Genomic DNA, 26,685 nt, shown 5'->3' on the forward strand with positions numbered 1-26,685 from the left:
AAGCTGAGATCAGGGTCGGGTGGAAGCAGGAAACCATGGCATGGGCCAGGATGCTGCTCACCCACTGGAGGCAGCACATGGGGGCTGTGGGACACGCAGGGTTCCCTGCTGCTGGCCTGCTGGCTGCCACCATTCCAGCTGGACAACAGTATCCCCAGGAGGCGGCTGAGAAGCAGGGAGAAGAACACCAGGCTTGGAGTCAGGTGGGTGGCTCTGGGCAGGTCGTGTCCCTCTCTGGGGCCCATTTTCCTCACCTCTAAGAGAGGGATGGTAACACTGCACTCATCAGGGGTCCTAAGGACAAAATTGCATCACACATGTGAAAAGGCTTTGCAACGGAAAGACTGCCCTGAATGACTTTTTTTTTTTTGAGACAGAGTCTTGCTCTGTTGCCCTAGCTGGAGTGTAGTAGTGCAAACTCAGCTCACTCCAACCTCCGCCTCCTGGGCTCAAGCAATTCTCCTACCTCAGCCTCCCAAGTAGCTGGGACCACAGACATGTTCCACCACACCCGGCTAATTTTTTATATTTTTCATAGAGATGAGGTTTTGCCATGTTGGCCAGGCTGGTCTCAAACTCCTGACCTCAAGTGATCTGCCCGCCTTGGCCTCCCAAAGTGCTTGGATTACAGGTGTGAGCCACCGTGCCCAGCCCTGAATTACTATTTTTGCTCCCTTCTGGTAGACTTTTTTTTCTTCTTAAGAGCATAGACTCTGAAGCCAGACTACATAGGTTCAAGTCTCCACTCCAGCATCACTAGCTGATTGCTCAACATCCAGCTACTGAGCCTGTTTCCTAGGAGTACAATGAAAATATAAGGTGCTTTGTATAGTGCCTGGTACACAGCAAGTGCTCCATAAGTGTTTGCTGCTCTTGGGTTTGGAGGACAATAATGGCAAACTTGCTCCCTAGCACTCATGTCCAGTGTAGACAAACCTGAAGAGGGTGTGTCTCCTCCTGACCCAGTGTAGACAAAGCTGAAGAGGGTGTGTCTCCTCCTGACCCTCTCAAAGTACACAGGTGAAAAGCAGGAGTGAGAATGTTTGGGTTCTGAGCTCACACATGGACCAAGCTTCCCTAGGCTGGCTTGGGGCTATGTCTGACTTCTGTTCTTAAAAAGCCAATTCATGGGCCGGGCGCGGTGGCTCACACCTGCAATCCCAGCACTTTGGGAGGCCGAGGCGGGCGGATCACGAGGTCAGGAGATAGAGACCATCCTGGCTAACACGGTGAAACCCCGTCTCTACTAAAAATACAAAAAATTAGCTTGGCGAGGTGGCGGGCGCCTGTAGTCCCAGCTACTTGGGAGGCTGAGGCAGGAGAATGGCGTGAACCCCAGGGGGCGGAGCCTGCAGTGAGCCGAGATCACGCCACTGCACTCCAGCCTGGGCGACAGCGAGACTCCGTCTCAAAAAACAAACAAACAAACAAACAAACAAAAAGCCAATTCATGCTGGGTGCAGTGGCTCACACCTATAATCCCAGCACTTTGGGAGGCTGAGGTGGGAGGATTGCTTTGAGCTCAGGAGAGAGCAGCCTGGGCAACAGGGCAAAAACCCATCTCTACAAAAAAAAAATACAAAAAATTAGCCAGGTATGGTGGCGTGGTGGCTCACATCTGTGGTTCCAGCTACTCAAGAGGCTGAGGCAGGGGAATTACTTGAACCCAGGAGGTGGAGGTTGCCGTGAGCCGAGATTGCACCACTGTACTTCAGCCTGGGTGACAGAGTGAGACCCTGTCTCAGAAAAAAAAAAAAAAAAAAAAAAAAAAAGGCCAATTCAACAGCCATCTCCTGCAAGTTCTGTGATGCCAGGCCCTCACCACAACCCTGTGTGGTAGGTAGCACTGTTCCCATTTGACAGATGAGGAGACTGAGGCTCAGAGAGGTGACATGGCCACCTTGAGGCCAGACCGCCCCTTCCAGGCCAGGCTCACTAGGCTCCCCTGATGTGGAGCTGCAGGAAAGCACGTGAGGCCCAAGTGCGGCCCAAAACTGCATGGCATTCTAGCAGGCAGTGCATTCTCAGAGTGGGGAGACCCAGCGGGTATTAGGTCTTAGTCAGAAACCAACCTTAGCCCCAAAGGAACCAGCAGCTTAACAGGCTAAGTTCCCCACGTCCAGCCCCACGCCACCTGTTCCAGGAGGCCCTCTTTGAACAGTCCTGCCACCTCCCCCTCTTCTGGCCCAGGCCCCACACCAAGCCCCTTGCTGTGCACCAGGGTGGTGCTAAGCGCCCTACACACATCACTCTTTTTAATCCTGCCAACAACTTTCTGGCTCTGTGACCCGGGGAGTCTACCTGTCTGAGCCTCGACTTTCTCATTGGTGAAACGGTGATGATAACAGCTCATATCTCAGAACTGGGTGTGAGGATCAAATTAGGAAAATCCGTTAATAATGGCAAATACTTATTTGGCACTTACTGCATATCAGGCCCTGACTCGGTGACTTACAAGTAAGATAAGGGCCAGAGAGGATCTGGATGTGTCTGCTGGCCCCTTCCTGCCATGCCCCTTTTCAGGCTCCAGAAATGACCACAGACCCTTTTCCCAACCCCCTGCCCTGAGGAATGCACAGAACGCCAGAGTGGGAGCCAGAAGTCCTGGCATGAGTTCAAGCCGAGTGCTCCCTGGGCCTCAGTTTCCTCCCCTGGCCCGCCCTGCCCCCTTTGGAGGTGGAAGGTGATGACGGAAATGTAGCAGTGTTTTGCCTGGTGATGTTTATATTCCCCTCCCGTACCTTCCCCAAATGACAGGCTTGTCCAGATGAATCACCAGGGGGCAGGAATGCCCCAGCTGTTGGCCCCTGGGCAGCAGCAGCCTGCCGTGGCCCTGGGCCTGGGCTGGCTGATTTCTCTATCCTCATCTCCAGCTCTCCCCTGCCACCCCCCGGGCCTGGGCTCTACCCAGCCAGGCTCCTGCTATTTCTGCCCCCACTTGCCCAGTGCTTTCTATGCCTCTCATGGCTCCTCATCCACTAGGCTTCCATCTACCCAGCCCCACCACTGGCTGCTTTCCCAGAACTCCCTAAAACTGGGCTCCACCAACTGATAGCCAAGGTGCCCAGACATGCAAAGTGCCCGAGCCAGGGCAATCCCAGCAGGGTGGGGCCGTGGTACTCTCTCCTCACCTGTTCAGGGAGGTGGCACCGTGGTGGCTGTCAAAGCTCCGCCCAAGTGGCATAACCATCCCCAGCGGCCTCACCCTCCACCCTTGCCCTCGAGAGGAACATTTGTAGTGGTGGGGAACACAGATTGTGGAGAAACAGTCAGAATTCAAATCCTGGCTCTCCCAAGCACTCACTCCATAACCTTGGGCAAATCACTTAATCCCTCTCTATGGCTCAGCTTACTCATCTGTAAAGTGGATCTATTAATAAATTGTTACAAGGATTACATGACTTACTAATAGAGAGCACTTAGGACAGGACCTGAAACAAAGGAAGCACTCAGGAAATACCAGCTGTGATTATTACTAACATTCCAACTGGCCCAAGGCAGAACTCACAAACTGGCCATCTGGCCCACAGATGTGAATTATTTGGCCTACGGCACTAGGAATTTTGTTGTTGTTGTTGTTTTTTGAGACAGGGTCTCAATCTGTCCCTCAGGCTGGAGTACAGGGGCACCATCTCAGCTCGCTGCAACCTCCGACTCCTAGGCTCAAGCAATGCTCCTGCCTCAGCCTTCCGAGTAGCTGGGACTAGGAGGCATGCGCCATCATACCTGGCTAATTTTTTGTATTTTTAATAGATAGGGGGTTTTGCCATGTTGGCCAGGCTGGTCTCGAACTCTTGACCTCAAGTGATCTGCCTGCCTCGACCTCCCAAAGTGTTGGGATTACAGGCATGAGTCACCGTGCCTGGCTTAGAAAAGTTTTTGAAATGTAACACTTTGGGGATATTATTTCAAAAAAATGAATAGTTTCCATTTTCCTTAAAAAAAAAAAAGGGCCGGGCGCAGTGGCTCACGCCTGTAATCCCAGCACTCTGGGAGGCTGAGGCAGGCGGATCACGAGGTCAGCAGATCGAGACCATCCTGGCCAATACAGTGAAACCCTGTCTCTACTAAAAAATACAAAAAATTAGCCAGGTGTGGTGGCGGGCGCCTGTAGTCCCAGCTATTTGGGAGGCTGAGGCAGGAGAATGGCGTGAACCCGGGAGGCGGAGCTTGCAGTGAGCCGAGATCGCGCCACGGCACTCCAGCCTGGGCAACAGAGCGAGACTCCCTCTCAAAAAAAAAAAAAAAAAAAAAAAAAAAAGATACGCCAATGCTGGGACCACATTCTCCACGTGGTGGCTGGGGCTGAGGAGTGGCCACCTCCTCTGGACAGGCCACGAGTCCCTGGGGTTCCACAGCCCACCCCAACCCCTTATCTCCTCCTCACTGTGGCCCCAGGGTGAGCTGCCAATTTTCATCATGTCAATGTTGTTTCTTACTTTTAAAAAAGAGAGAAATATTTCTCATATCCTTGTCTTGGTCAAAAGTGAAATGATTTACATGCAGCTTCAAAACAAGAAAACTAAGCCATATGGCGACAGACATCAGAACAGCAGCCACCTCCGAGGATGAGACTTACTGGAAGGGCACATGAGGGAATGTTCTGGGGAATGAGAATGTCCTGGAAATACCCTCTATCTTGATTCTGTGGTTACACAGGTGTCTACATTTGTCAAAACTCCTCAGCCCTCACTTGTGCATTTCACTGTAATGGAAATTACACCTTATTAAGAAAAAAAAATGGAAAACTGAAAGATAGGTCTGGAGGGGCTCATGTTTCAAGGAAAACAGAAACTGATTCCTTTGTAGTGCTGAACATACTGACGACTGGGAAAGAAGACACAACTGAAGATGCCTCTGCAAAATCAGCCCGGTCCCATCCTTGGTCCCTGCTTACGTTTGAGTTTGAGACCCACAGGTTAAGGCCTTGAACGACATCTTCAAAGATCTATGCAGAACTACGACATCCAACATAGAAGCGCCATGAGCCACATGTGGCTATTTCAATCAAATTAATTAAAAATAAAGTGAAAAATTCAACCCTCCTTTGCACTAGCCACATGTCAAATGCTTCATAGCCACACATAGGCTCGACAGCATAGACACAGGCCGTTTCTATCATCCCAGAAAGTTCCACTGGACAACACTGGTGTACACACAGTCTACAAAGCCAGGCTAACTTCTGGTCTGATTAACATCTGGATCCCTGGGCAAGGCAGGCACCATGAACACTGCTGTGCAGTGCTTGACAGAGAGCAGGTACTCAGGAAATACGAGTTGAATGAATGAATGAAGGCAAAAGAAATAAACAGACTTGAGTGAATCCCAACTCAGGCCTCCGACAACTGTAAATGTTCCAGCAAACCTCTCCTCTGAGTTTTCGTTTTCTCTGTATAGAGAATGGCATAACAATCTGTCCCTCACTCTCAAAACTGGGCACATACACCAACGTCCTCAGGGTCGCTCAGACCACCGGGGCCAAGAAGGACTCACAGGAGAACCGCTGTGTCAGCAGTCCCATCTGGAAATTCTAGAACAGGAGGGAGGCAAGGGAGCTGTGTAAGGGGCAGTGGGAGCATTTCAGTTCGTGAGAGTGGCCTCTGGAAAGGGCGGGTACGGGTGGTAAAGAGACAACAGGCTGGGCTCCACTCTGTGGGTTTGGGAGGGAGGGCTGCTGAGCACAGGGAAAAATCTACGTTCGCCCCCATGCCTGGTGGCTGGAATCTGAGCTGGAAAACAGCATCAGACACCCACAAATACCGCTGTGGTCATGGTGGCAGGACAGGGAGCCACCTCGATCCCCAGAGAGAACCCTCTGTTCTGAGTGGAATGGACCCCCCATCAGGGCAGACTGATACAGGGCCTGCCCCAAGGGCTGCTAGGAACAAAGAGGGCTGGCTGGGCCCTGAGCAAGCAGCTGGCCTGGGTTTGTCTTCCCAGCATCCATCCTTCTCCACATCCAGCCATATGGGGCCTCCTGGACGCTGGGGATGTCAATGTCATTGTCTGTGTATTCATTTGCTCATTCATTCATTCAACAAATATTTATTATGTACCTACTATGTGCCAAAAAATGAGCTTCCCACCAGGAATACATTAAACAAAACAAAGCGTTTGCTGTCAGGAGCTTGAATTGTAATACAGGGAGAGACAATAAACAATGTTACTAAGAGTCGCAATATTAACAATAGCATCTTACATTTATTGAGTGCTTACTGTGTGCCACATACTATATGTTAAGTGTTTTTTTGTTTTTTTTTTTTTCAGATGGAGTTTGGAGTTTCGCTCTTGTTGCCCAGGCTGGAGTGCAATGGCGTGATCTCAGCTCACTGCAACCTCCGCCTCCTGGGTTCAAGCGATTCTCCCGCCTCGGCCTCTTGAGTAGCTGGGATTACAGGTGCCCACCACCACGCCTGGCTAATTTTTGTATTTTTAGTAGGGACGGCGTTTCACCATGTTGGCCAGGCTGTCTCGAACTCCTGACCTCAGGTGATCTGCCCACCTCGGCCTCCCAAAGTGGGATTACAGGCCTGAGCCACTGCACCCGGCCATATTATTGACCCTATTTTGTAGGTGAGAAAGCTGAGGCACAGAAAGGTTACAGTCAAGATCATCCAGCTCTAAGGCATTTGGGATCTGAACCCAGGCAATATGACTCCAACTTGACCCTAACCAGTACAGTGATGGCCTCACTGCAGAGAGCGATGAGTGTTACAAAGACAGGGCAGCAGCGAGGTGTGCTCAAGCCTCTGGGGAGGAGTCGAGGAAGGTCTCCATGAGCCCTGTCTGACCAACCCCCCCAATCTACAGATGAACTAACTGAGGCCCCCTGGACATGCTGAGTCAGGGACACAGTCAGGACTAGAAGCCAGGCTTTTATACTCCCGGCCCAGTGCTCCTTCCAAAGCCCTGCAACTGTGCCACAAATGCTAAGGGCCTGGCAGCGAGGACTGAGCCAACTCTTGGGCTTAGGATGACTGAGGTCCACCGAGGACTCCCTCGTCTCCCTGCACTCAAGACTCTCCCCTTCCTCTGGGTCCAGCATGGGTCTCAGCTCCCAGACTGCTCCCTGCTTAGAACTCCTGTCCACATTACCCCAGCCCGGGCCCTGTAATGCTGGCTTTAACATTTCCAAAGCGGGCTCGTTCCCTTTAATTCACTTTTGCTCTTCACAGCGACTCTGGGGGGCTGGAGCTAGCATCTCCACATCATGGGTGGAAGATAGATCTCAAGGTCAGACACATTTGGCTGCTTAGCAGCTGTGTGATGTTGAGCGAGTCATGTCACCTCTCGGAGCCTCAATTTCCTCCCTCTGCATGGTGAGGGTGGCAGTGGCTTCCTTGCCGGGGGTTATGAGCATCTAGTGAGACACCACTAGAGTCTGTGTAAAGTGCCAAGCACAGTGGCTGGCACATATTAAGTATTTCATAAAAAGCAAGTTTTAAACATGATCACTACAGTCATTGATGTGAGGACGTCAGCAGCAGAGGGGCCTCCAGAGGACATTTTCTTGCACCCCAGGAGGCATTCCTGTCATTTGTCCCCACTGGGTCTGGGGCTGGGGCTTCTTTGTACCTCTGAGGTACAAAGTGGAAGCTCTGCCTGGCTGGCAAGACCAGACCTGTTGTGGCGGCCAGGCTGTACCCACGCAGGGCCACTGCTCCTAGGGCACTGGGCTCCAGACAGAAAATGGGAAGGGACAGATAAGCCTCTATGAAAGGTGGCCAGGCACAGGAAAGAGGCCCTGCCCCCTTGAGAGGGAGGCCCTGCCCCCTTGAGAGGTTGGCCCCGCCTTGAGCATCCTTGTCAGGCAGAGATCTGGGCAGGACAGAAGAGAGGAGGTGCCTGGCTCAGTTTTGCTGCGATCCCAATGGGTCACACGCCTTCTGGATCCCCCCAGAAGGTCTAGAATGGGGTCACCCCTCAAAACCTCCCTGGCTCACTCTTAGCTTGGAACCATGAACGAGCTTGCTCCCACCCACATGGAAAGCAGCTGCCCTTCCCCTGGAGACATTTTCCACTTCTCTACCTCCAGACCTCTGCTCATGCTGTTTCCTCCACCTGGTAAACCTCACTCTCTGCTGTGCTGTCAGAAAATGGCCAACCTTTTGAGTCTCAGCTGAAATGGCACTCCCTTTGCCCCAGCTTTAGTTTAACAAGCATTTGTGCATGCTCTGGAGATGGGCTGTCCTGCCCTCATACACCCTGCTAGGGCCTAGCCAATGAGGGACAACCGGAAGTCTTACCCTCCAGCCCCCACCCCGGAGACCACCTGTGTAGGACCCCCAGGGGTTGCCAGGATCCTCCCCACAAACGGCAAAGCACTCTCTATTTGGGGGAACAGCCCTTCTCTGGAATTGGGAGTAACAAGAGGAAGGGAGGAAGGGCGTCTTGTGAGAGGGAGGGGCCAGGAGGCCTGAGGGAGCTCTGGCGTGTGTTCCAGAAACCCTTTGGGATCAGAGACAAGATCAAAGAGGCAGCCTTCATGAGGCTGTCCAGGGCCCTGGACATGGACCCAGGAAAATTGGCTGGGTGACCTCAAGCAAGTTACTTGCCCTTGCTGAGCCTCAACCTCCTCATTTGTGAAACAGGGCTAGTACCCCCAACCTCTGAATGAGACGGTGAACAGCCTTTGTGCATGGGAGGGGCTTGAGTCTGGGTACTGAGGGGCGAGCTGGGGCCTGAGCGAATGCTGCAAGTCCCCCAGGGCTCCTTCTCTGATGCCGTGTCTCAGAGCCCCCTCCCCTTCCTGCCTGCCCAGGGTTTCCCTTGCTAGGAGCAGTTTTAAAACTCCCCAGTACCTGGGCTATGAGCCACAGCTTCTTAAAGTTCCCCATCTCCTGCAGCAGGCTTAGTTGGACTGAGCCAGAGCCCATCATTCACTGTTTCTGGAGATTATCACAGTTTGCAGAAACAGCAGGGCACCTAGCAGGAATCTGGCACAGGCTCCTCGCTAGTTGGGACTGGAACTGGGCCAGGACAGCACCTCGTGTCCTCTAAAAGGATCCACAGGGCCTTCCCTCTCTCCTTTCCCCTCACTCAGGCACACTGGGGTTCCAGAGTTCTAGGGCCACATCCCAGACACAGGCACTGCAGTCTTGTCCCCACTGGGATATGAGACACAGAAAGAACCCTGGGCTGGAGTCAGGGGAGGATGGTCACTCCCCCTCTGTGGTTAAGGACAGAAACTCTGGAGCCAGACTGCTGGCGTTCAAACCCTGGCTCTGTCATTTACCAACTGTGACCTTGAGTGAGTTACTTAACCTCTCTGTGCCTCTGTCTTCTCACCTGTAAAGTGGTGAATCACAGTACCCGTCCCACCAAGTTGTTGGGAGGATGCAGTTAGTTACCCAGAAAGTGTTTGGAGTAGTGCCTGGTATGCAGTGAGCGCTGGCTTGGTTGGGTGAATGAATGGGTGCATGAAGGAATGAGTCAATGCGTCGGAGCTCTGCTCTGTGGCACGAGGCCCTTCAGGATCTGCCCGGACATCAGCACCTGCCATTGTCCCAAGCAGGTCATGATCACATCCTTCCCACCAGCTTCCTTGGCTTGGCATAACCTCACCATTGCTGTTAGTCCCAAGAACTCCTTCAACACATGCTTCAAATGCCACCTCCTCTCTGAAGCCTCTTCAATCAGGACCCTCAGGGCTGTTAATGATAAAAACCAAACCCAGCTGGATTTTCTTTTTTTTTCTTTCTTTTTTTTTTTTTTTTTGAGACGTTTTGAGACGGAGTCTCGCTCTGTCGCCCAGGCTAGAGTGTAGTGGCGCGATCTCGGCTCACTGCAAGCTCCGCCTCCCGGGTTCACGCCATTCTCCTGCCTCAGCCTCCCGAGTAGGTGGGACTACAGGCGCCCGCCACCACACCCGGCTATTTCTTGTATTTTTAGTAGAGACGGGGTTTCACCGTGTTAGCCAGGATGGTCTCGATCTCCTGACCTCGTGTCGTGATCCACCCGCCTCGGCCTCCCAAAGTGCTGGGATTACAGGCGTGAGCCACTGTGCCAGGCCCCAGCTGGATTTTCTAACAAAACAAACATCTTGGCTCACATTGCCTCAGAGGGAGGGAGGGAGGATCATCAGGCAGGAGACGATCCAGGAGTTCAGATGCTGCTGCTAGATTTCTCTCCCCTGCCTCATCTTCCATGCCTCATCTTCCCCTTGTGTGTTACCTTCACTCTCATCTCTGAGATTAGACATCCTTCACACCCAGAGAATTCGGCCAGGCTTACCTTGTGGTAGCTGAGAGCCCTAGAGAAAAAAAACCTTCTCTCTCCCTGGGCTGAATTAGAAAGTCCCAGGGAAGAACTCTGATTGGCCAGGCCTGTTTCCTGTGCCCTCCCCTGTGACTTAGTAGAGGTGGGGCCTGATGCTGTGATTGACAGCCTGGTTAATCGGCTAAACTCAGTAGGCGTGTCCCATGCACCACAAGGAATTGGGGAGGAACAATTCCCAAAGGAAGGAGGTTGCTGTTAGCAGAAGAAAGGCAAAACAACCTGTGTCCACATCATCCCTCCTGCCACCTCTGGCCCTGTGCTTTCACTGCACTCTGCACACACCCCCAGCAGACCCCACCCGAGCTTCCAGGGATGATTTGGGTACTTGGGTATGGGTGACTGTCCCTGCCACTGGACGATGAAGTCTTAAAGGGCCAAGACTCTGGTCACCTTGGCTCTCCCAGCCCTCTGCTCTGTCCCTGATCATAAACTACTTTTGACGAACGAAGAAAACGAAGGATCAAGGAATAGAAGGGGTTGTGTAAGGGGCCAACCAGGATGAAAATCTTCATCTAGGCTCTTCCAACCCTACCCTGCAGCCTCCTCCCTCAACCCACAATCAGCAACATATCCTACAAAAACATGTTGACAAGGAAACCATCACCCACCCCTCAGGAGGCAAGAGATGGCCCCAGCTCAGTGCCCCTGTGAGGAAAGCTGGACCTACATTCAAAACCAGCTTCTGTCAAAGACACATTCTGCCATCGTGGGCAATCAGGCTGGTAGTGAGGATGAAATGAGAGAATGTAGACAAAGTGTGTGGCACACAATAGGGACTTGATGAATGGGGGCTGTTGTTTTCAGAGTGGGGCTCCCTGGCCAGCTCAGGGCCATGGCTGGGTCTGGCTGGCTGCCCACACCACAGGGCCTGCAGGGTCACACCCCCAGTGCCTCCCTTTTGTTGCCCAACATGCAGGAATGTTCATAGCATCTGTGCCCTCCTCTGTCCACCCATTTATAAACTCAGTAGGCGTGTCCCATGCACCACCAACAGCGCAGGCTTCCAGGGCAAGTGAGAAAAGAGCATGCGGGCCGGGCATGGGGGTTCACGCCTGTGATCCCAGCACTTTGGGAGGCTGAGGCAGGAGGATCGCTTGAGACCAGCAGTTTGAGACCAGCCTGGGGAACATAGTGAGACCCTGTCTCCACAAAAAAAAAAAAAAAAAAAAATTAGCCTGGTGTAGTGCCTCATGCCTGCAATCCCAGCACTTTCGGAGGTCGAGGTGGGAGGATCGCTTGAGCTCAGGAGTTCAAGATCAGCCTGGGCAACATTGTAAAACCCCAACTCTACAAAAAAATATAAAAATTAGCAGGCGTGGTGGTGCACATCTGTAGTCCCAGCTACTCAGGAGGCTGAGGTGGGAGGATTGCTTGAGCCCTAGGAGGTTGAGGTTGCAGTGAGCAGTGATTGTGCCACTGCACTCCAGCCTGAAAGAGTGAAATCCTGTCTCAAAAAAAAATTTTTTTAAATTTAAAAAATTGGCCGGATACAGTGGCTCACACCTGTAATCCCAGCACTTTGGGAGGCTGAGGCGGGCAGATCACTTGAGGTCAGGAGTTCAAGACCAGCCTGGCCAAATGGTGAAACCCCATCTCTATTAGAAATATAAAAATTAGCCGGGCATGGCAGTGCATGCCTCTAATTCCAGCTACTGGGGAGGCTGAGGCACAAGAATTGCTTGAACCCAGGAGGCGGAGGTTGCAGTGAACTGAGATCATGCCACTGCACTCCAGCCTGAGCGACAGAGTGAGATTCTGTCTCAAAAAAAAAAAAAAAAAAATTTTTTTTTTAATTAGTCTGGTGTGGTGGCACATACCTATCGTCCTAGCTACTCAGGAGGCTAAGGCGGGAGGATCGCTTGAGCTCAGGAGTTCAAGACCAGCCTGGAAAACAATGCAAAACCTTGTCTCTACAAAAAATATAAAAATTAGCTGGGCATGGTGGGGGGCACCTGTAGTCCCAGCTACTCAGGAGGCTGAGGTGGGAGGATTGCTTGAGCCCCAGGAGGCTGAGGCTGCAGTGAGCTGTGATTGCATCCCTGCACTCCAGCCTGAAAGACAGAGTAAAATCCTGTCTCAAAAAAATAATTTTAAAAATTTAAAAAATTAGCCTGGTGTGGTGGCACACACCTATCATCCTAGCCACTCAGGAGGCTGAGGCAGGAGGATCGCTTGAGCTCAGGGAGGTCAAGGTTACTGTGAGCTATGATTGCGCCACTTCTCTCTGGCCTTAGTGACAAAGCAAGACCCTGTCTCTTAAATAAATAAATAAAAAGAGCAAGCAGCATCCCCAGCTGACACAGCACGTGTCCCATGTGCTGTCCTGTCACTGAGAGGTAGGAGGATGCAGCAGGCTGGAGTGTGGTGGACATGGGTCTATACCGCCTGTATTCAAATCCCAGCTCTGCCTACTACTATTTGTTTGACTTGGGCAAGTGATATGACCTCCCTGTGCCTTGGTTTATCATTAAAAAAACAAAGCTAATAATAGCCCCACTCTCATAGGTAGCTATGAGAATTAAAATAGTTCAAAGACACAAAGTATTGTGATCACCAGCACTGCTATTTGATCCTCTCATGCAGATGTAAGGTAAATACTATCATTGTCTCTCATTTTGCAGATGCTAAAACTGCAACTCAGAGAGGGGTAGTGACTTGCTTGGATCACACAGCCAGAAAGTGACAGGGCAGGACTGGACACCAGGTCTGTCTGACTCTAAACTACTTATTGTTTCCACTCTGCCCTCTGCGCCCCACTATTCCCTCCTGGACTCTGATGCCTCTGTGCTTGTCCCCTCACCTGCCCACAATGCCAAGGCCAACTCCCCTTGTCTAGCCCCAGCCAATCAGGGTGGACCTGCAGCCAAACCAGATGCTGCTGAGCTGGCGTTGCCTCGGTGACCAGGCATATCTGCTGGACAAGCCCACCCCAGGCTCAGCTTCCCATCTGGTCCCCAGTACACTCCATCCCCCTCAAGACACATGTGTCATGCTTGCCTGGGGGGATGGAGGGAGCCCGGGAGGAAACGCCTGGCTGGGGAGAGGAGGGCTGATTCCAGCTGACAGTGGGGGAATGATGACTGCATTGGCTCAGGAGGACAGGAGCTGCCCTAGCTGCAGTCTTGGTCCAGAGTGGTCCCAGGCCCAGAGCAGAGCTGGGCGGGGATGAGAACTAGGGAGAGGAATACATGATGCAGGTGGGAGTGGGGGAGCAGGGGGCTGAGCACCAGGCTCAGATCCAATGAGAACAAGCTGCTCCCTCAACCTTGGAGTGGAAAGAACAAAGGTTCTGGAACAGACAGACCTCAGCTGGACTCTCTGTAATTTACTGCTGTGTGACCCTGGGTGAGTTGCCTTACCTCTCTGAGCATGTGTTCTCATCTATAAAATGGGGACATGTGAACCTACTTCACTGGGCTATGGTGGGAATTAAGGCGATAATCCATGAAAAGGCACATGGGGAATTCAAGTGCTGCCTCCTAAAGAGAGGCACTGCCAAGGTAATGCCTGTGGCACAGGAATGTCCCGGCTCACGGAGAACGGGTACGAGCAGCTGGAATGACCCTGGGTTCAACCTGAGCAGTAGTGTGGCCTGGGTTACAGATGTAGGGGCAATGATGACAGTGCTGAGGCTGCAGCTGCTAAACGGTAACACCAACGACATGGCACCAGCAAAAGCCACATCTTGAGCAATGACTTCATTCTAGGTTCCGTGCTAAGCACTTTACGTGTGTTTTCTAATTAACCATAACAGCAACCCCACGTGAAAGATGTGGAATAAGAGACACAGAGAGGTTAAGTAACAAGTCCAAGGTTGCACAGCTGGTAAAAAGATGGGATCAAATTTGAACCCAATTTCTACCCGATACTCAGGCATTATGGGAGCCTGCAGAATGGCGTGGGAGTTCTGGGAAGGGGGCGCTGGCTAGGCCCTTCCTGGGACACTCACGCAGCCACATTCCCAAACCCCCTCCCGGGCCCCCAAATTCCTGGCTCGGTAGTGATACAGCCTGAGCTCCTCCTCTCCCTCCAGGGCTTGGCTCAGTTCAGTCCCATTCGGGAGCCAATCTGCCATTGCACAATTAACAATTAGGAACAACTTTTCTTTTCTTCCAAGGCAGGGATCGGCCCCAGCCCTGGTGACAGGGACACAGTGGGGCTTCTGACAGAACCTACTAGGTATGTCCCCAGCCCCTTGCCAAGCTGGGTGACCCCTTTCCTAACCCAGCCCAGTCAGGAAATCAAGGGTCAGACAGCCCCTCTCCATCTTCCTTTGTCATCTAAATCCAACCTCCCCTCCAGGGAACTTCCTGACTGTCCTGGCTCACAGCTTTCACGTGTTCCTAAGACCCCAACGCCACTGATTCTTTGTCTATTCAGTCAGTACCTGGCCTGTGCCATTTCCATGGGATCATGTATCTTTATCTACTGCAAGCAACTTGAGTTTGTTTGTTGTTGTTTTTGTAAACAACACTGTGCTTATCCCTCTCAATACCAAATCTAGTCCAGGACGCATAGAAACTGTTTGACCTATGGTCTGCTTCTTGGCTTGGAGAACTCCTATTCACCCTCCAAAACCCAGATGAAATGTCATCTCCTCTATGAAGTCTTCCTCTGTGTCCCATGCTGCCCCATCTGTATGTATCTGTAGTGATTTGTATGTATCCCCAGTAGAAAACCCTCCCTTGTACTGTAATTAATAACTACTATCCAGGCACTGTGTTAAGACTGTCACACTCATTAATTTCAAATCTATCTCTCTGCAAGCCAGAGTCAATACCTATTTAACAGATGGGGGTGATAAGGCTCAGAAAGGTTAAGAGGCTTGCCTAAAATCACACAGCTAATAAGTGGCAGATCTGTAATTTGAGCCCAGGTCTGCTCATGTCCCAAGCAAATAATTCTTTGGTTGGTTCAGGCTGCCACCTCCATCCAACTGCAGCTGAATCCGATGCCTACTGGGGTCCCAACCTTTGCAGTTCCCCAATGGATCAACCTCAGAGATGAGCTGTCACTCAGCCCCAATGTCTGGGGTATCCCAGGCCAAAGGTGATCTACCAGCTGGTGCCACCTCACCCTCACGGCGTCTAGGACAACCTGGAAAGTCCTAGGGGCTTGTATATAGGCAACTAGGCATTAAAAGCTGCTCCTGGCCGGGCATGGGGGCTCAGGTTTGTAGTCCCAGCACTTTGGGAGGCCAAGGCAGGCAGATCACTTGAGGTCAGGAGTTTGAGACCAGCCTGGCCAACATGGTGAAACTCCATCTCTACTAAAAATACAAAAATTAGACAGGTGTGGTAGCGCATGCCTGTAATCCCAGCTACTTGCGAGGCTGAGGTGTGAGAATCACTTGAACCCAGGAGGCAGAGGTTGCAGTGAGCTGTGTGCCACTGCACTCCAGCCTGGGTGACAGAGCAAGACTCTGTCTCAAAAAAAAAAAAAAAAAAAAAAAGCTGGCCCTATTTTCCCCATATTCTAGGATTCTAGGGCTCTATGAATCCACTCCCTCTGTCTACACAGGCAGCGTCAGGAAAGAGTGCTGGTTCTGGAGTCAGTCAACCTGGGTACCGGCTGTAGGACCTTAAGAATGGGACTTAACCTCTCTGGTGCCACAGTCAGCTTACCTGTGATTTGGGAGAACCCCTCCTCACAGTGACTGAGTGCGGCTGTGTAAGTTGAGTACCTGCCACAGTAGCTGGCACATGTCCTCTTGTCTAGGGAACAGATTTACTACACGCACACAATGCGCCAGACACTGTTCTTGGTGCTGTTTACAGCAGCAAATCAGAAGAACATTACTGTCCTTAAGGGGTTTTTCACCCTCAGAACAGCAACCCCAATATTGTTGGCCTGTTCTCTCAGTGAGGAATCCCATGATGCCGTGGGTTTATCTGATTCTAGTTTTTTGTTTGTTTGTTTGTTTTTTGAGAAAGAGTCTTGCTCTGTTGCCCAGGCTGGAGTGCAGTGGCACGATCTCGGCTCACTACAACCTCTGCCTCCTGGGTTCAAGCAATGCTCCTGCCTCAGACTCCTGAGTAGCTGGGGTTACAGGCGTGCGCCACCACACTGAGCTAATTTTTGTATTTTTTTTTTAGTAGAGATGGGGTTTCACCATGTTGGCCAGGCTGATCTCGAACTCCTGACCTCAGGTGATCCACCCGTCTCGGCCTCCTAAAGTGCTGGGATTACAGGTGTGAGCCACCATCCTCGGCCTGATTCCAGTTCTTAACATACATAACACACATACTTCTTAGAAACTCTCCTGTGGTCGCCAAGAGACATGAATATGGAAGTCCCACACAGCATGTGCTGTGGTTGTGAATGAGAAACAGCCTAAATGCCCATCTATAGGAGCCTGGATAAACCACAGGAGAGCCACATCATGGGATGGAATACTACACGGTAATGAAAACCAAGTGGCTGCAACTCAAACAACAGGAAGACAGAAAAGCTGCAGAAGTCAACATGGAGCCTCCAATCAATTATTGAAAGTTCAAAAACAGTGAGCAACATCATACCTATGTATCATTTAGGGAGGCAGAATCAGGCTGCGCTTGGTGGCTCACACCTGTAATCCCAGCACTTTGGGAGGCCGAGGTGGGCGGATCACCTGAGGTCAGGAGTAACAGTATCAAGACAGTCACTGAAGAGTCTCTCCCAGTCTCTTCCCCTGGGAGAGAGAGTGGTAAGAAACGGACTGGGGGTGTGGGGGTATGGGGGATTCAACTGCATTTGGGATGTTTTATTCCTTAAGCTGAACACTTACATACCAGTGTTTGGTTTTACTGAGCCTGATGCTTTTAATATGTCTGAGATATTTTGCTACCCACCAGAATAGGTCAGACAGACTTGGGCTTCGAGCCAGCCCTGTGCTTTGCTGCCATGCGATCCTAGTCTTCTCTGTGAAGTGGGAATCCTATCGCCCACTGTTAGCTCCCGGGACTCTTCTGAGAATTAAACAAGGTCGTGTCTGCAAAGGGCCTGGCATCCGGTGGCTGCCATTGTTCCTGCTGCTGTTGGGAGGGTCTCCCAAAATGAACAGACAGAGGGGAAGGCCAGCTCGCAGGCCTCAGATGGGGAAAAGGGTTTGCTTGTCACAAGGCCAGTCCAGCCCGCGGCGACGCTGAGCTGGTGACGCATCTGCAGCTCTGGGGATTGAGCAATCTTGGTCCCCTGACCGGGATGGAGTCATGGGCCCAGGCTGGCTGGAGCCCCTCTACTGCTCCCCACCCGCTTCTCAGACTTTGTGTTCCTGGCCTTCTTGGGACCCCTCCAGGCTGGCAGCCACACCCTCCCCTCTGTGAGCTAGGCAGGAAAGCCCGGTTCCATTCCTGCCCAGTTCTCTTCGGCCTCTCCTGAGCCCCTGCTCCCCAACTCAAGGTGGGGTCCTAACCACCTTGCATCCAAACAGATCCTCTGGAGACGCACGAGTGGGTCAGGGCAGTCAAGAGCTGTGCAGGCTCAGACAGGTCATGTGACTTCTGTAGGTCCCTGGCTTTAGCAGGTGTGGCCGAAGGTGTGGGGTGCCAGTGTCTGTCTCCTGGTTCAAATCCAGGCTCGGGGTGTGACCCCAATGTTCTTGAACTTAAATCAGAGCCACCGCGATCTCTTTCTCGAAGTGGGGACAAAACACATGCAAAGCAGGGCCTGCCCCTCCAAGGTGCACCTTGAAGGTATCAGACGGCATGGACGAGGTCCCCTCGCTGGCTGCTGTGACGGTTAAACGATTCTTCCCAGCTCTGCACAACTCAAGTGATAGCTGTTGGACTCGGAGATGAACAAGAGTGAGGGAAACGGTGGGGGAGAGCAGTGGGCAAGACCTGGCGTGGCAAGTGGGGAGCAGGAGGCCCTCGTGTGGACTCGCAGAGACCCAAACCCAATGAAACAAGTACCCTGCTGGCGCATGTGCAGGAACTGATCAGCGTTCCTGAGGGCCCAAGGACATTTCCAGGGCACAGCTTGGGGAGGGCAGCAGAGTGGGAGCAGCTGTGAAATTGGGTTTCAGGTCATGACGCAGTTGGGGAACTTATTTCCTTCATCCCTGCCCTTTCCTGACCCTGTCCCACTCCCTTAACAAAGGTCAGCCTGGCCTAGGGGTGTCCTCCCTGGAGACCTCCCCTCCCTTGTGCCTCAGCCTCTCACTGTCTTTGGGGCAGACATTTCTCCGCTCTGGGCTTCAGTTTCTCTATCTGTAAAATGGGTGGGGTGATATTTCAGGCCTTAGCAACTTCTAAAATCCCATTTTTTGAAGATTTAGAACCAGTGAGCCTTCCTGAGGCCCACTTCACAAGCCTATCCAAGCAGAGGTGGCAAAATCCTCCTCCCTGGGTGAGAGGCAGGCGACACCCCTGAGTTGGTCACACCAGCCTTCCAAGGAGCTAACCCGACCTGACAGTCACTTCAGCCTGGCCAGGCCCCCAGGCAGTGTGCCAAAAAGCGGACGGGGGAGGGGATTTGCAGCAAGAGCTACAGCTCCCCAGAGGCCGCACTTCTGTCGGGGGAGACGCTGAGCGAGGGTCAGAAGAAAGTCAGCATGGGAAATGTGACGTCAGCAGAGGCAGATGCGAAGGAATACTATCCGAAAATGCTTCCGTAAACTCACCCTCCCAGGAAGCCAAATTCTGTGGGTTTTCAGTGGAGCTGGGTCTGTACAATCTCCCGGGCTCCGTTTTCTCATCAGCTAAGTCAAAATAATAAAGTGAGGCCAGGCACGGTGGCTCAAGCTCGTAATCCAAGCACTTTGGGAAGCCAAGGTGGGTGGATTGCCTGAGCTTAGGAGTTCGAGACCAGCTTGGGCAACATGGTGAAACCCCGTCTCCACTAAAATACAAAAAAGTAGCCAGGCGTGGTGGTGTGCGTCTATAATCCCAGCTACTTGGGAGGCTGAGGTGGGACAATCGCTTGAACCCGGGAAGTGGAGGTTGCAGTGAGCCGAGATCGCATCACTGCTTTCCAGCCTGGGAGACAGAGCGAGACTCCGTCTCAAAATAATAATAATCATAATCATAATCATAATCATAATCATAAAGTGGACTACGCAGGGCTTTTCTAGAGACATGATAAGACCTCGTGTCTAAATGGCCTGGTACATACTAGGGCCTCCATAAATGCCGGCTCCATGCTGCCCCCACCTCTGTCCACCAGGGCACCCCCGGCACCAAGGGCCAGACTCCCTCTGCTGCCCCCAATCTGCTTCTCAGACTTTCTGCTCCTGGCCTTCCTGGGAGCCCTCCAAGCCAGCAGCTGTGCCCTCCCCTCTGTGAACTGGGCAGGAAAGCCAGGCTCCATCCCTGTCCAACTCTCCTCAGCCTCTCCTGAGACCTGGCTCCTCATTCTCGCCACTCCCTACCAGGCACCGGGAGGCACGGCTCACTGTTCCCTAGTTTGTCTTGGTCCCCCAGAGGGCCAACAAGCAGTCTGGGTGTTTACATTAGTTCAGCTGAGACAGGCTGAACAAACACACGCGGTCCCATGGCTTCTAGTGCCAGCCCCCACACACCACTCGCCACCCAGGCTGTCTTGAGTCCACAGGTGTCCCCACCCCACTCCAGATCTTCTGTTTACACTCGGCAGCAGCGTCCCATCTTTTGACTTCCCTGGGCCACAATGTAAGAAATATTGTCTTGGGTCACACATAAAATACACCAACGATAGCCGATCAGCTAAAAAACAAAGGTGCATGCATAAATCTCAGAATGTTTTAAGAAAGTTTATGAATCTGTGGTGAGCCGCATTCAAAGCCATCCCAGGTCACATGCGGCCCACGGGCCGCAGGTTGGACAAGCTCATTCACAGATTCTCCCCATGGATTCTGTTTGAGGTTTGCTGCGTCCAGCTGATACCTGGTGAGACACTAACCCCGCCCACGACTATCTCCAGGCTCCAGCCGTCAACAGCTGTATGGGCTCAAACAGGTCACCGGACTTCTCATTTATAAAATGGGGATGGTGACAGGGCCAACCCCACAGAGGACTGCTACGATCAAATGGGATAATGAGAGGTAGGCGCTAAGCACGTTGCCTGCAGGGCTCATGGAAGGTGCTGGAGAAATAAGCTTTTTAAAAAAAATTTAATACTGTTTTATGAGTAATTGAAGAGTTTGGCCAGAAGTCAGTGGGTCCTGAGAATACAACCTAAAAATAAGTAGAAAATTCTTGGCCAGACTGTGCTAAGCACTTTCCATGTATTATCAACGCCTCGCAGCAACCCCAGGAGATATGGTATGCCATCATCCTTCATTTGCATAGACAGGGAACTGAGGCTCAGAGAGGTTGAGTCACTCACAGGGGGTCACACAGCTCCCTGAAGGACGCACGTGTCTGTTCCAGAGCCTGTGCTCTTATCTTCCACACTCACCCAAGCTCCTATAGGGGCCGCAGCCTCATCTCTGTGTCTTTCTTCCCCACCCTTCCTTCATTCTGCGGAGGGTTCCTGAGGTCCCCAGCCTCCTCTAGGCCATGGAGTCCTGGGAGCTGCCAGCAGCGTGGAGCTCGGCTGTGCAGCCTCCCCTGCCTACTGCCGAGGTGGTGCCTTGAGGAGCTGTGATGGTCTTCCCTTGCCCTGGGTCTGAGCCTCTAGGATCCTGCTGCTGCAGAACCTCCTGGTTTGGAAAAGGGGAAAGGAGCTGTCTGTAACTCATCATTTAACCCATGCCAGGCACCGCGCAGATATTTTCCCACATAATCTTCATGATCACCCTGTGCTGGAGGTACTACCATCCCCACTTTACAGAGGAGGAAACCGAGGTTCCAAGAGGTGGTGTCACTTGCCAAGGGTCCCAGAGCTAGTGCGTGGCGGAGCTGGGGACTCAAACCCAGGTTGCTCTGACTCAAAGCCCACAATCTTGCTGCTCCCCAGGCTGGCCCCTGCTCCTGGGAGAGATAAGACCCCATATAAACAACCCTAACATAAACCAGAAAGCCAGGCAGGCCTTCAGGAGGCCCAGATAACAGCTGGGAAGATACACAAAGAGGGGCTCAGACTTCCTGGGGAAATCTCTGTGTGAATAACATAAGAGGAATTCTCCACTGGGAGGAGCAGCCCTGGGGCCCCCAGCAGCCATGTCCTGGAAGAGGGTCTGTTGGGGACCTAGGCCTGACCACAGGAAAGACAATTTCCAGTGCAGTGGCCCATGGGTGCCTTCACAAGTAATCAATATGGAATGAGCACCTACGGTGTGTTGGGCCAGGCACCAGGCTTGTCATGCACTTATTATCTTTCTCCATTCTTTCTGCAGTCCTGTCACACAGGATTGATTGATTGATTGATTGATTGAGATGGAGTCTCGCTCTGTTGCCCAGGCTGGAGTGTAATGGCGCAATCTCGGCTCACTGCAACCTCTGCCTCCCGGGTTCAAGCGATTCTCCTGCCTCAGTCTCCGAAGTAGCTGGAATTAGAGGCACGTGCCACCACACCCGGCTAATTTTTGTATTTTTAGTAGAGACAGGGTTTTACCATGTTGGCCAGGCTGATCTCGAACTCCTGACCTCAAGTGATCCACCCACCTTGGCCTCCCAAAGTGCTGGGATTACAGGCATGAGCCACCGTGCCCACCCTATTTTCATTTTAGAGAAGGAGAAACTGAGGCTGAGAGAGGGAAGAATGCTTCCTCAGGATCTAAGACCGCTTGGAAGGGGCCAGTTGGTGTGATTCCCAGGTCCGAATGAAACAGAGCTGCGTCCCCGGCCACCCTTTGGTCTGGTCTTGTCTCCCTCCTCCTCTGCCTGAAGCTCCCTCACTGCTGCCCCACCTGGCTCATGTCAGGAGCTGGAACAACTTCTGAAGTCAGCATTATATGCCCCTTTTACAGATGAAGAAACAGGGGCTCAGAAAGAAGTGGCAAGGCGGCTTCTCAGTGAGATGGAGTGGGGATGGGGGTGTGGATAAAACCAGGAGACCCCACACCCCACCTGAGCCCGGAGTGCAGCTCCCTCCCTAACGGCTGGGGACAGGTCAGTGCCACCCACCTCTAGCAAATGCTTCCATTCCCACAACCATGGGCACCTTGTGGAGGACTTGGTAGCCCTTAGCCCAGCAGACGCCCAGGCAGCCTGGCTGCACAGTTGCCATGGAAACACCAGTGGGTTCTTTGGGGGCAGGAGAGCAACCAGCCCTTCTCACCTGGCCAGTGCAAGGCGCAGGCTGAGGCACAGGTTGGGGCTGTGCCAGGCCCCCCACATGTGTCACACTCCAGGGCCCCAGGCCTGTGACCAAAATGGCAGTGCCACTGCTGGCATAGGGGATGGGGACACCAGTGTGGTGGCACTGTTTGGCCCTGAGGGGTTGGAAGTTGATCTAACCACCTAGCTGGGGAAAAGGACAAGAAAACCCAGCGATGGAGAGGAGAGGCACAGGAAAGGGGGCAGACAGACAAGGGCCTCTTGTCAGGAAGGACAAGAGGTTCTGATCTAGCACTCTGCTGAGAGAAAGAAACGGGGAGGCCGGGAAGGGAAGTGGGCATGGCCCCCGGAAGAGGACGCACATGGATCCGCCCTCTGCTGGAATTTGTGCATGTTTGGTGAAAACCCCTCACTGGGGCTTTGGAGGGAGGGCAGGTCCCAGGGCTCAGGGGTTGGGGTCATTTCCAAAAACAAGGCTGCTTACACTTTCCCAAAGCACCCACATGGCAGAGGAGAGTCAACCTGTGCCCTGGCAGGACTGAGGACACAGCTAAAAGCTGTGAAAAAAGCTTAAGTCTCATTTCCTTTTGAATCTCAAAAATTCATGCCAATTCTGCATTCTGCTCCAAAATAGTACCTTTTTATTTTATGATGCAAGTACCCTACTCTGATCCCCAGGGCAATCTCACACACTGGTATGAGAAGCTCAAATATAAAAATTAAGCATGAAACCTCAAGAGTGGATAAGCTGACCTTGAGGGCGTAGGTGGAGAAAGGCCCTAGCCTCCCAGAACAACACAGCTGGAACCGGCGGGGGGAGGGTTATGGATCAAAATACACAATAGCCCTGACTGCAGGCCGGATACTCTGCCAGGGGCTCACATCCATTCACTCATTCATTTTCCTCTTACCCTCTTTAAAATCGTGTGCCTACTACGTGTTAGCACTGTTCTCGACAGATATAGCAGGAAACAAAACAGACAAAATCCTTGCCTTTGGGCCAAGTGCAGTGTTCATGCCTGTAACCCCAGCACTTTGGAAGGCTGAGATGGGAGGATCACCTGAGCCTGGGAGTTCGAGACTGCAAAGAGCTGTGATTGTGCCACTGCACTCCAGCTTGGGTAACGGAGTGGCACCCCGTCCCAAAAAACTAAAAATAAAATAAAATAAAATAAAATAAAATAAAATAAGCCTTGCCTTCATGAAACTTATATGCTAGTAGGAGACAGAATAAATAAGACAAATCAAATATGCAGCATGTTAGACTGTGGGAGGGGCTAAGGGGAGCAATGAGGTAGTGAAGGGAGACAGAAAATGGGAGATGGGGGCAATTTTCTTTCTTTTTTTTTTTTTTTTGAGACATAGTTTCACTCCATTGCCCAGGCTGGAGTGCAATGGTGCAATCTCGGCTCACTGCAACCTCCACCACCCGGGTTTCAAGCTATTTTCCTGCCTCAGCCTCCTTGAGTAGCTGGGATTACAGGTATGCACCACCATGCCCGGCTAATTTTTTTGTATTTTTAGTAGAGATGGGTTTTTGCCATGTTGGTCTGGCTGACCTCAAACTCCTGACCTCAAGTGATCCACCTGCCTCAGCCTCCCAAAGTGCTGGGATTACAGGCATGAGCCACTTCACCCGGCCTGTTTTGTTTTTAAAGAGACAAGGTCTCACTCTGTTGCCCAAGCTGGAGTGCGGCCTTGACCATAGCCCATGCAGCCTCGACCATAGCTCATGCAGCCTTGACCTCCTGGGCTCAAGCGATCCTCTTGCCTCAGCCTCCCAAGTAGCTGGGACTACAGATGTGCACCACCACACCCGGGCTCATATAGCTTCTTAACTGGGTGGGCAGAGGAAGCAGGGGGCAGAGGCCCATCCCCAAGGGAGAAACCATCCATCAGTGCGGGACTGACAGGGACACTCCACCCACTCAGCCCAGTGTGCTTCTGTCCAGGGAGACTCCAACGGCTGCCACAGCTGTGGTTTACTGACTTCAGGTCTGACTGCCCTCTCCAGAGCTGCCCTAGAATCCCTTTGTCTGTGGCTGAAGTGTCCCTCAGAGCTGAGGAACAAGTTTGGAGAGGACCAGGAGGGGCTCTCCCCACCCCCGCCCCTTTCCCACATGAAGAGAAACATTTCAGGGTTGAAAAAATGACTCATTCTCCCCAGAGAGGGCTGGAGCTGAGCTGAGTCAGGCAGAAGGAGCCCGCGGGTCACTTAATCGGCCTCCCTGCTCTGGCAGAGATGGCTCTGGGCCCCAGGAAGCCAGGGACAAATGGAGGCGGAGGTGGCAGAGATAAGCAGCTAGTGGAGTGTGCCAGCCTCTCCTTCCCCAACCGAGTGTGTCACTGGGCGTCACCCAGCACTGCTCAAGTTGAACCTGATGCAGAAGAAAAATTCCTCTGGACTTTCCTGAACGAGCTTTATGGCTGACTCACTGCCACCTGGAGCCTGCAAGAAAAGTCACAAATCACGAAAGAAGGAGAAAAACAGTTCTCGTTAAGCCATGTCTTCAATGGAGGTATCAGAGGTCGCCAGGAGGAAAGCACACATGTTTTGTTGTGGGTTTCCTTCTCTAAAGAAACACGTTACACAATAGAGGGGGGTTGAGACTGGTTGCAAAACTGCAAAATCCAATTTTGTGTACTGGATTCAATTTCTTCATTAGCTGACACTAAACACAGAGACGGGGCCCTTGTGACTAGATGAACCATAAACTGGCTCCAGGACCACCAACCTGGTACCTGATGGCTTGTTTCTGCTCCCCACTCTTTCCCTCCATGCATCTTTCTCTGAGCTTCTGCTCAAGGCAGGTGCCAGGACAAGCCAGCGTCTCGAGCGGTTCCCCTTCAGCGGTGAGAAGTAACGTCACAATTAAGGGGCAAGAGGGGCCAGAGGACAGAACAGTGCCAGTTCCTCATCCAGATTGAAATTTGCTTCCAGCTGCCTGTCCCCACACCAGAAAGGGCACTCCCTGCTCCCCATGCAGGCTTCTCATCCTCTTTTGCTGGCCTCCTCCCTCCTCGCTGTCCCTGGTCTTTTTCAGCCACAAGCAAAACACACTCAGCCTTGAAGTCAGATGCTCTACAGAAGCCTGCAAAAACAGAGTCAGGAGTTGTGTGGCCTTGGCCGAGTCACCTCACCTCACCAAGCCTCAGCCTCCTCACCTATTAAATGGGGACACAATAGGACCCACTTCCTTGGAGCTGACTGAGGTATGAATTGAGTCAATGCATTCATTGCTCAGCACACAGCTTAGCTCAAAGTTAATGCTCAATAAATTGTGGTTCCCACCTCCTGCTCCACGGAGCAGACATGAAACAGGTACGAGAAGCAACGAGAAGGGGCGGCAGCAGAGCATCAACACACAGGGAGTCCTGCCTACTGTCCCGACGCCACCCAGAGGCTCAAGGGGTGCCCCGGCTGCTCTCCGAAGCTGCCGGTGGCACTTTCGCCAGCCACCTTGTTTCCAAACTTGCTGCCAGCTTCCCCTAGCGCAGTGATTTCCACAACGGAGCTCCCGGCTGTGGGAAGGGGGCTTTCTTTGACTTGTCCTAAAATGGCCTCACCTGGACCCAGTGGGGTGTGGGGACCAGGGGGCTGGGCCTGGACCTATGAGCATGTTTCCTGCCTCCTCTCAGCCCCCATCCTTCTGCCGCCCCACGTTCTCAGCCAACAATAGCTGCTTCCCAGACTCAGCTGCCACACAGCACGAGCTCCCTGAGCAAAAATACCCATGCGGGGGAGGGTGGGGAGGTACAGGAGGGGCCACAAATGGGGAGGGCTGGGAGAAGGGGTGGCAGGATCAAGCTTGTCTCTTGAGTGCCTACTGTGTGTCAAGCTGAGAAGGGTGAAGCCCCTGGGGGTTAGAGAAACCTGGGAGACCGTGGGGTGTGTGTGTCGGGGGTGCTGGTCTCTAAGACAGCAGAGCCTCCAGTCCCCAGAGAGGGATCAGACCCAGGTCCAGGGTCTAAGGGTGAAGAAGGGGTCCAGGGAGAAGAAGGTGCCTAAGCAGGAAGCAGGTCCTAGAACCTAGTGAGAAAAAAGGGGGGCCTGAACCCCAAAGAGAGATCCAAATCTTAAGGAAAATAGGGGCTCAGGTTCGAGGAGATGAGGTTCATAATAGGGGGGTTATATTTCTGGTTTCAGGAGGGGGATGGTTTGGAGCAGCGTAGGGAGGTGGGGCGAGGCCTGCAGAGCTAAGAATCCATTTAACTGAGCAGCATCTCAGAGGTCTTAGGTGCCAACTGGGGTGACATCAGGGAAGAAAACAGAAATCCTAAGACAGCA

The 26,685-nt window shown here is 52.4% G+C and overlaps 1 protein-coding gene across 4 annotated transcripts in view, besides 9 other annotated features; it reads right to left on the bottom strand.

Annotated features, from left to right (window-relative positions):
- ECE1 (endothelin converting enzyme 1) overlaps positions 1–26,685 on the bottom strand; it is a 128,255-nt gene that overhangs the window by 82,833 nt on the left and 18,737 nt on the right. The window contains exon 1 of one of the 4 annotated variants that reach the window (XM_047448096.1): positions 20,635–20,873. The exons of the other annotated variants lie outside the window; for them this stretch is intronic. The gene's annotated coding sequence lies outside the window, so the exon portion shown is untranslated. Of the gene's footprint in view, positions 1–20,634; positions 20,874–26,685 lie in introns of those variants that run through there. 4 annotated transcript variants of the gene reach the window in all.
- Positions 7,142–7,829: an enhancer, noted in NCBI's record as "H3K4me1 hESC enhancer chr1:21633717-21634404 (GRCh37/hg19 assembly coordinates)". NCBI's record gives its function as "activates a minimal SCP1, AML or CMV promoter by ChIP-STARR-seq in primed H9 embryonic stem cells {active_cell/tissue: H9 hESC(primed)}" and the evidence as "EXISTENCE:reporter gene assay evidence [ECO:0000049][PMID:30033119]".
- Positions 10,659–11,213: an enhancer, noted in NCBI's record as "H3K4me1 hESC enhancer chr1:21637234-21637788 (GRCh37/hg19 assembly coordinates)". NCBI's record gives its function as "activates a minimal SCP1, AML or CMV promoter by ChIP-STARR-seq in naive and primed H9 embryonic stem cells {active_cell/tissue: H9 hESC(naive and primed)}" and the evidence as "EXISTENCE:reporter gene assay evidence [ECO:0000049][PMID:30033119]".
- Positions 15,077–15,866: an enhancer, noted in NCBI's record as "NANOG-H3K4me1 hESC enhancer chr1:21641652-21642441 (GRCh37/hg19 assembly coordinates)". NCBI's record gives its function as "activates a minimal SCP1, AML or CMV promoter by ChIP-STARR-seq in primed H9 embryonic stem cells {active_cell/tissue: H9 hESC(primed)}" and the evidence as "EXISTENCE:reporter gene assay evidence [ECO:0000049][PMID:30033119]".
- Positions 16,960–17,777: an enhancer, noted in NCBI's record as "H3K27ac-H3K4me1 hESC enhancer chr1:21643535-21644352 (GRCh37/hg19 assembly coordinates)". NCBI's record gives its function as "activates a minimal SCP1, AML or CMV promoter by ChIP-STARR-seq in primed H9 embryonic stem cells {active_cell/tissue: H9 hESC(primed)}" and the evidence as "EXISTENCE:reporter gene assay evidence [ECO:0000049][PMID:30033119]".
- Positions 17,778–18,595: an enhancer, noted in NCBI's record as "H3K27ac-H3K4me1 hESC enhancer chr1:21644353-21645170 (GRCh37/hg19 assembly coordinates)". NCBI's record gives its function as "activates a minimal SCP1, AML or CMV promoter by ChIP-STARR-seq in primed H9 embryonic stem cells {active_cell/tissue: H9 hESC(primed)}" and the evidence as "EXISTENCE:reporter gene assay evidence [ECO:0000049][PMID:30033119]".
- Positions 19,414–20,231: an enhancer, noted in NCBI's record as "H3K27ac-H3K4me1 hESC enhancer chr1:21645989-21646806 (GRCh37/hg19 assembly coordinates)". NCBI's record gives its function as "activates a minimal SCP1, AML or CMV promoter by ChIP-STARR-seq in naive H9 embryonic stem cells {active_cell/tissue: H9 hESC(naive)}" and the evidence as "EXISTENCE:reporter gene assay evidence [ECO:0000049][PMID:30033119]".
- Positions 19,984–20,223: a silencer, noted in NCBI's record as "fragment chr1:21646559-21646798 (GRCh37/hg19 assembly coordinates)". NCBI's record gives its function as "represses an EF-1alpha promoter that drives an FKBP-Casp9 reporter gene in an ReSE screen in HepG2 liver carcinoma cells {active_cell/tissue: HepG2}" and the evidence as "EXISTENCE:reporter gene assay evidence [ECO:0000049][PMID:32094911]".
- Positions 21,902–22,721: an enhancer, noted in NCBI's record as "H3K27ac-H3K4me1 hESC enhancer chr1:21648477-21649296 (GRCh37/hg19 assembly coordinates)". NCBI's record gives its function as "activates a minimal SCP1, AML or CMV promoter by ChIP-STARR-seq in naive H9 embryonic stem cells {active_cell/tissue: H9 hESC(naive)}" and the evidence as "EXISTENCE:reporter gene assay evidence [ECO:0000049][PMID:30033119]".
- Positions 23,635–24,195: an enhancer, noted in NCBI's record as "H3K27ac-H3K4me1 hESC enhancer chr1:21650210-21650770 (GRCh37/hg19 assembly coordinates)". NCBI's record gives its function as "activates a minimal SCP1, AML or CMV promoter by ChIP-STARR-seq in primed H9 embryonic stem cells {active_cell/tissue: H9 hESC(primed)}" and the evidence as "EXISTENCE:reporter gene assay evidence [ECO:0000049][PMID:30033119]".

This window comes from Homo sapiens, chromosome 1 (genome assembly GCF_000001405.40).
Source record: "Homo sapiens chromosome 1, GRCh38.p14 Primary Assembly".
In the NCBI taxonomy this organism is placed as follows: Eukaryota; Metazoa; Chordata; class Mammalia; order Primates; family Hominidae; genus Homo; species Homo sapiens.